This window comes from Homo sapiens, chromosome 16 (assembly GCF_000001405.40).
Source record: "Homo sapiens chromosome 16, GRCh38.p14 Primary Assembly".
In the NCBI taxonomy this organism is placed as follows: Eukaryota; Metazoa; Chordata; class Mammalia; order Primates; family Hominidae; genus Homo; species Homo sapiens.
The window spans coordinates 2595354-2603383 of NC_000016.10; the positions used below are offsets into that span (position 1 = coordinate 2595354).

General features: G+C 52.7%; 1 protein-coding gene across 10 annotated transcripts in view; it reads left to right on the forward strand.

The window, feature by feature from the left end:
- PDPK1 (3-phosphoinositide dependent protein kinase 1) overlaps positions 1-7835 on the forward strand; it is a 65168-nt gene extending 57333 nt beyond the window's left edge. For 9 of the 10 annotated variants that reach the window (XM_047434200.1, XM_024450296.2, NM_002613.5 and 6 more), the window contains 3 exons: positions 440-497; positions 1770-1922; positions 2298-7835. In XM_047434200.1, the coding sequence (XP_047290156.1) occupies positions 440-497; positions 1770-1922; positions 2298-2414 (328 nt within the window). In that variant the 3' untranslated portion in view covers positions 2415-7835. The remainder of the gene's footprint in view (positions 1-439; positions 498-1769; positions 1923-2297) is intronic. The other variant, NM_001261816.2, reaches the window with a different exon arrangement.
- Positions 7836-8030: the final 195 nt, after the last annotated feature.

Consider the following 8030-nt stretch of genomic DNA (forward strand, 5'->3'; position numbering starts at 1 on the left):
GGGCCCCAGCTTGTGGGGTAACTTGAGGGCGATCATCTCATCCAGTTGTTGACTCCGCGGGCAGCCACCTTTCGGGAGGCAGTTCTGCGCCTCACCACAGCTTTGTTAAGGCAGCAATGACCTGTGTCACCTGCCCGTTTCTACAGCACGGTCCTCCCCCACCTTTTCCCCGCTGTGTGGATGTCACTGGCAGTGAGGGGGCAACAGGCACTGTGTCTGGTATCTGCAGGCTCCGTTGCAAATACGGATTAAGGCTCTCTGCGTGGCAGTGCTGTATGTGCTGGGTTACATGTGGCGAACGTTCTCTGCTCATCCCAAAGTGAGGCTGGCTCTGTGAGGGGCAGGCCGAGGCTATGGGGAGTTCGTGTGGCAGGAGGAGCGTGGAGAATTTCTGTTTGTGATTGTCATGGGAGCATCTCTTTCTTGTTTCTTTCCACAGGCACCAGTTTGTAGAAAATAATTTAATACTAAAGATGGGCCCAGTGGATAAGCGGAAGGTGAGTGGTCAGTGGTCCCGCTGCTCCGCACGGACACCTGCATCTTCCCCGACTCCAGCTTAGGGGAGGGCAGCTTGGTGGCGTGGAATCCTTCCATCTCTTGATTTTCATCAGACATCATCTCTAGATTTCATAGCTCGGGAAGGCTTAAGTCCCTTGAGAGAAGCCATGTGGAGCCACACGCGTAGGCGGTTAGGGCAGTGCAGAAGCAACCGCCCACACTCCTGGGAGCCTGGGGCTGCCTGTTTTGAGGTTTCCGTCAAGTTGAAGAGGCCACATGTGATATCTTAGCCAGTGGTCTAATATTTCTTTAGAAGTGTTTCAAAACCATTTAAGGGTTGTTCTTTATTTTTTTCTTTGAGATGGAGTCTTGCTCTGTCCCCCAGGCTAGAGTGCAGTGGCGCGATCTCGGCTCACTGCAAGCTCCGCCTCCCAGGTTCACACCATTCTCCTGCCTCAGCCTCCTGAGTAGCTGGGACCACAGGCGCCCGCCACCATGCCCGGCTAATCTTTTTTTGTATTTTTAGTAGAGACGGGGTTTCACCGTGTTAGCCAGGATGGTCTTGATCTCCTGACCTCGTGATCCACCCGTCTCAGCCTTCCAAAGTGCTGGGATTACAGGCGTGAGCCACGGCGCCCGGCCGGGTTGTTCTTTATTTTATGGATTAAATGGATCCAGCACTTAGCAAGTGGTCTGTATGGAGCCAGGCAAGTGTGTGGATGTGCTCAGGTATTTATTTGGTCATCTTGTACCTTTTTCAAATATAAATCATATTACTTCTACAGTAGAACGTCAGATCAGGAATTTCAGTATGATTAGACAGAACACAAACCAGTAACTGTTAGCTTTAACCCTTGGTTAGAAAATATTCAGCTCCAGGTGCTCACGGGGCCACTTCCAAGCGCAGGCTCCTGGCCTCTGTTCCTGGCCGTATGTCCTCCGCAGGCAAGGATCTCGGTGCAGGTGGGTGGAGGCCGGCTACCGAGAGCAGGCTTCTGTCCCAGGCAGAGCAGAGGGGCCAGGGGAGCCATGGGCCCGATCTGGATGGGCTGTCTGCGCCATCTCAGCAGCAGAGGCCTGTGCTGCATCCCCTGTGACCTTAGAAACTGGGCCTGGTGGGGCAGGAAGTCCCCTGCCCCTGGGTGAGTGCACAGGTGGTGGTGGTGGCCCTGTGTCCTGAGCAGCTCCGAGGGGCCGCCCAGCCCTCTAGGCTCCAGGAGATGCCGTCAGCACTGGCCTCTGAGGCCTGTTGTTTTGTGTTTTGGCGTCAGGGTTTATTTGCAAGACGACGACAGCTGTTGCTCACAGAAGGACCACATTTATATTATGTGGATCCTGTCAACAAAGTTCTGAAAGGTGAAATTCCTTGGTCACAAGAACTTCGACCAGAGGCCAAGAATTTTAAAACTTTCTTTGTCCACACGGTGAGTCTGTTCCCAGGGATTTCTGTGTGCAGGGTAATGGGAGGGCTTTGCACCACGTGGGAAGCAGCCACAGGCCTTGGCCAGAGGGAGCAGCGGGGATCGGGGCAGCTGCCTCGCCCTTTCCGACATCCCAGACGCCCACACTAGTGGCTCAGTCCTGAGGGGGCAGGGGACACCCTGTGCTTGTTTTTCAGTTTGGTGGTGACTGGGGGTGGTGGTCATCAGCCTGTGTAGTTGCTTACTGCTTGTGTGAATAACCGTCACACCCACGTGCTTTCAGGACTCGGAATGGCTGGTCGCAGGCAGCTCACCAGGTTGGGGTGGGGGTTTTGGTGGGACTCCCTGGAGAACACTAAACGGCTTCTGTCTTCGCAGCCTAACAGGACGTATTATCTGATGGACCCCAGCGGGAACGCACACAAGTGGTGCAGGAAGATCCAGGAGGTTTGGAGGCAGCGATACCAGAGCCACCCGGACGCCGCTGTGCAGTGACGTGGCCTGCGGCCGGGCTGCCCTTCGCTGCCAGGACACCTGCCCCAGCGCGGCTTGGCCGCCATCCGGGACGCTTCCAGACCACCTGCCAGCCATCACAAGGGGAACGCAGAGGCGGAAACCTTGCAGCATTTTTATTTAAAAGAAAAGAAGAAAAAAAACACCCAACCACACAAAGAACAAAACCAGTAACAAACACAAAGGAATTCAGGGTCGCTTTGCTTGCTCTCTGTGCTCCGTGGAGGCCTCCGTGTGCCCTCGTTGCCGTGGGGACCCAGCTCCATGCACGTCAACCCAGTCCCGCCCAGACTAGTGGACAGACCTGGTGTCACCAGTTTTTCCTAGCATCAGTCCGAACCATGCGCCCGCCCTGCCCCAACTGTGTGCTGGTCCTGCTGTGGCCGAGGGGACCGGGTGTGTTTGGCTCTTTATGCCCCTCCCGCTGTGGTCCTGGAACTCTTCACCAGGGAGGGAGCCCTGCGGGGGCCGCAGCTTTGTGGAGGGAGCCGCCGTGCTTCTGTCACCTGCTCCCTTTCTTGCGTCTCCCTGTGATGGGCCCTTAGGCCTGGCTGGGCCCATTACATATCCCTGTGGTGGCTCTGGTGGCAGCTTTCTGTGGCCCCTGCTGTGTTGGCAGGCAGGTTTGCGTGGTGAGGAGCGGGAGGGGTTGGAGTGGTGCGGGAGCAGGCTGCCGAGTGGAGGGTGCCATCGAGGGCTCCGGATCCCTTATCCTACTTAGCAGTGTTGGTCTCTGGGGCTGGAAGCCGAGCGCATGCTGGGAGCGGTACTGTCAGAAGTGAGCCCAGTTAGTACCCCGCTGGCTCACTGCACGAGAGAGTCCTGCCCCGAGCCCTAGGTGGGGCCAGGAGGTGCCTTGGAGAAGCCAGCCAGAGCAGAGAGGGCTGCTGACTTCCGTGTGGAGCAGAGAGGCCTGAGGGCCTCCTAAAAGGTTTAAATGTCCACGCCTCTCCAGTTGCTGAAGTAGGGTCTGAGAGAACCCTGGCATCAGCAGACCCAGGGTGCTTCTGTCTCCTGCAGACCACGCCAGGGAGTGCAGACACCACCGTCACACACGCCCCTTTTGTGTTTTGGTTCAAGTTTCTCAGAGCCCCTCAGAGCTTCTACATCTGTGCATCAGAAATCTCACAGCCTTCTCATGCTGCCGGCTCATCTGGGCCCATAGAGTGGGCTTTGCCAGTTGCTGTTGCACAGGAGGCGAGAACAGCACACTTCAACCCCAGCTTGCTGGTCGGCTTTCCTCTAGAGAGAGCCGGTTTTGGGGCCATTTCCCTTTGATGCTTTGGTGGCCTTGCCCCGCTCTGCAGCACAGACAGGCCAGATGCATTTGTCCTTTGCCTAGCTACTCCCCAGGTAGAGAGTGCTCCTGGTGGCCTGGCAGGTCTGGGCCCTTCTCTCCCTGCCCAGGTTGTCCCTGGAGGGCAGCCCTCACTCCCTTTGGGGGAGAGGCAGACATTGCTGCCCACAGACCTGCCTCTGACTCAACTGTGTCCACCCTCCCTGGTCCCTACCCCCAAGTCACAGGTGACTCAGCAGTGACCCTGTGTGCCAGGCCAGATCCAAACTGAGAGGGAAGGTGTCGTTTTTACACTGCTAATGACGAGAGTGGCTCTTTTTAGCTAGGCGAGTACAGACGGGGCCTGGGAGGGGGCAGAGATGTTCCCCAGGCCCTGCCTGTGGTTCCTGCCTGGGCCTTGGCTGCTGCTGTGTGAGAGCTGCATGTGAGCCTGTGACCGTGAGCTGGGGTGAGCTGGGCCGCACCTACCCTGGGGCCCCAGGGAGCAGGACGCTCCGGGGCCCAGCACGTTGCCCTGGGCCTGTGGCCGGAGTCGGAGTCCTCTCTCCTCCTCCTGGCTTTTGGAAAGGCTTGGCTGTGTTGGGGAGTCTCTCTTAGCCCTTTCAGGAATTTCTGTTCAGGCTTCCTCCTCCTCATCAGCTATTTTACCCATCTCAGAACGTCCTGTGTCTCCATGTAGGAGAGTGGCTCTCTCAGATCTCTCAGGGCGTCTGGTTATAGGGAAACAAGTGGAGCAGGGACGTGGCTTTAATTGGAGCACTCGGCTGGGCTGCTTGGGGAGACTCTTCCGTGCGTTCTTCCTCTGGATAGAACCACCACCTCCTGGGCGTCACTGACAAGCTCCATCTTAACCTCCAAAGCCACAGAACTAGGGGCTCAGAGCCAGAGCTGGCAGCCGCCAGCCAAAATGATGCCATTGCCTGAGCTGACAGCCAAGCCCTTCTGTGGGTCACCTTTCTCCTCACCCAGCCCCTTGCTCTTCCCTTTTGAAAGGCCCGTGTGTTTTCTTTCCTTACCCTGTGCTTGCTCATGTCTACTCCGGTTTTCTCTACCACATCCTTAGAGCCATCACCTGGCACGCAGGCGCCTTACATTCTACGGTAGAACGTGGGGTACTGTGTGTGCACATAGACACACTTACGTGGAATTACAGTTGTGGGTTTATCCAAGATGAGGAAGATTTCACCTGCTGTTTAATAGACTTGGGGCCATGTGCCTCCCCACACATGGGCAAGGACAGGTGGAATGTCGGGACCACACTGTGCGGCTTCTCGGCACAAAGCGGAGGGAGGCTGTGGTCGCTGCCGGCCTAGGTGTCCCAGGTGCCCCGCCTTTCTCTGGGACACAGTTGGGGGCTGGCTTCTGAGGGATTCCTTTCTCCCCTCTTTGTGTGGCCCCAGCCAGGGCGGTGGGCAGTCCTGGTGTAGAGCACAAGCCTCTCCACCCTAGAGAAATGCCTCTGTACCACGGCTACCATGTGGAACCTTAACTTGCAGAAGGCTTGTTAACAATTGTTTTGAGAGAGATGGCTGGTCATGCCACAGCTGCTGGGGACTCCGCCTACTCCAGCCCTCTTGGGACACACTGTGGGATTTGTGGCCCTTCCCCAGAGGAATTGTGGAGACTGTCCCATGGAACAAACCCTCAGGCACCAGCACAGGGCTCTGGGTGACTCAGTAAAACTAACGTTTGTCTCTGACAAGATCAGCTGTAGGCTCACCGGCCAGAGAAGACCACTGTGAGCATTTTGCCGTATATCCTGCCCTGCCATTTGTTCACTTTTTAAACTAAAATAGGAACATCCGACACACACCGTTTGCATCGTCTTCTCCCTTGATATTTTAAGCATTTTCCCATGTCATGAGTTTCTCAGAAACATGTTTTTAACAATTGTACTATTTAGTCATTGTCCATTTACTATAATTTATCTGACCATTTCCCTACTGTAAAATACTTAAGACGGTTTCTGATTTTTCCACTATTTAAATAATGCTGTGATGAATATCTTTAAAATCTTCTGATTTCTTACTTTTTTCCCCCTTAGATGCCTGGAAGTGGTATTTTGAGGTGAAAGAGTTTGTTCATTTTGAAGATATTTCTGTCTCTCTCTCGACCTGATGTGTAGACGCTCACTTCCAGTAGCAGAACCACCTTAGTTGTGTCTTACAGATTCTGAACAAATCGGTTTCTGATAAGCCATGTGTTCCAAAGAATGTCTGAATAAGACCGCTCTTTATTTAAATGCTAAGAGGATGTCACTACTGCAATCCATCTGTGGCCGATTTTTTCCAAGAGCCAATTTCCTTGTTTTGGTTGCAAGAACCTGGCTCTGCCTGCATGTCAGCTCTCTGCCCTCCCTGCTGCCGTGGCTTTCAAGCGCTTGGCAGAATCTTGTACTTCGTGTCCACAATGGTACTGAATTTGCATCTGCACAGTCAGCAGAGATAACAAGTGTTGAACTGACCTTGCCACATGCTTAGTGAGTGATTTGTAATTAAGTTTATAGACTCAGAAGGTATATTAGGACATTTGGAATCAGTAGCAGAGCAAAGCCTCTTTGAAAAAAACCACGTAGCTGATTGGGTTTTACAAGAGTGCATTTGTCTCCCCCTTCCACCCGTGGGGCCCCACCTTCAGGTCTTAGTGGTTCACAAGAGCCCAGCAGCCAGGCTGGCTTTTTCATTGTAGGGCGTGGTTGTCCCAGCTGGTGTAGATTTCAGGCCGCCCCCCCCAACTCCCTGCCCACAGTGTTGCAGATTGCCTGGCTGGCAGCAAGTCCAGACCACCCAAATTTGGTTGGATTCTTCATTTCTCCACTGTAGTTGGGGTCCATTGATTGTGCAGGGGAACGTGCAGGAGGTTTTTCTAGGCACCGTGTTCAGTGCTGCTTCACTCTACCAGAGATTATGGCCAAATTGCACGGAATTTGGTTTCTTGCCCTCTGAAGCCTGAGGGCCCCCCCTTGCCTGGCTGGTTGACAGACCCGGGGTGGTCACTGCTGAGACTTCAGAGATCGCAGCTGCTGTGAGAATACGGTGAAGGTACTTTGTTCTGGAAGATGTTGTCATACACTTTTCCCCAGTTATTTTCAAACTTGACATGAGCCTATGTTGACTCACTGGGTGGGGGTCCCTTCTTACGCAGCACACGTGGCAAGTGCCTGAATCGGGGCTGGAGGCACTTCAGAGCCTCTGAGGGGCCACCACTTCTGGCCCAAAATTGCAGGGTTGTAGATGAGGCTGCCTGTGGAGAACTGGTGTGAGGAGGAAGCTGTTTCCAACAAAGAGCACTTTCATCTGTTGAGATGGCTGTGGTGAGCAACTGAACGAGCCTACGTGTGTACCTGAATTTTCCCCGTAACTCATTTCTTCCATATGAAGAAACACCAAACTATGTACAGAGAACTTTTTACAAAAGGCAGACCTTTTTTAAGCTGTGTAACCCACATAGCCTAACCACCTGGCAGAATGACTACGAATAGGGGTCATTGTGCTGGTAAAAGCCTCTATTACGACTGTAAGTAAGTTGGATGTTGGCAAAATTAAATTGTTACAGTATTTAGAGCTGCTGTAGCTGTTCCTTCACAACATAAAATAGGATAAATGACTAGTACGTCTTTCAGGTGGGTGGCAAGCAGAACATGCGTAATATTCTCTACCTGGTCTGTAGCTGTAACTGTGATGTACAGACAAAGCAAAAATTAAAAGAACTTATGAAAACAAATGCAATGATACTAGGATATACACTTTTGTATTTTTATTCTTATATAAGGTTATTTGCTGGCTATTGTTGGCCTCTAGTTCAGTCTGTGTTATTTAAATTCTAATATATGAATTATTTGAATTGAATTCATGTTCGGGGCCACGTTGTTGTATGTATTGATGTACAGCCTTGAATGTGAATAATTATTGTAAACTATATTTTACAACTTTTTTTCTGGCTTTATTATATAAATTTTCTATTGGGTCAGTGATTTAATCATATAATTTAATGAATCTGTTTATCCTTTTTTTTTTTCCAAATACTTGTGCTTTAGGTGTAGTTACCAGATGATGAATTTTCCTCGTATGGTCAGTAGTCTTGTAATAAAAAGCATGTAGAGTGTAGAGGTTTGCTGGCGTGGCTCTTCCTTTGACCCCGCCACGGAGTGGGGGCGCGGTTGGGGGCGGGTGTCTGCCATTGCCCGCTAGCGTTGGCGCCCCAAGCTCGGTTTCACTCCCTCCGGAAGTGGGACCAGCCGGCTGCTTTTCCCGGATGGAACTTCCGCCTGCCATGTGACCGGCGGGTGTTCTACAAGGGCT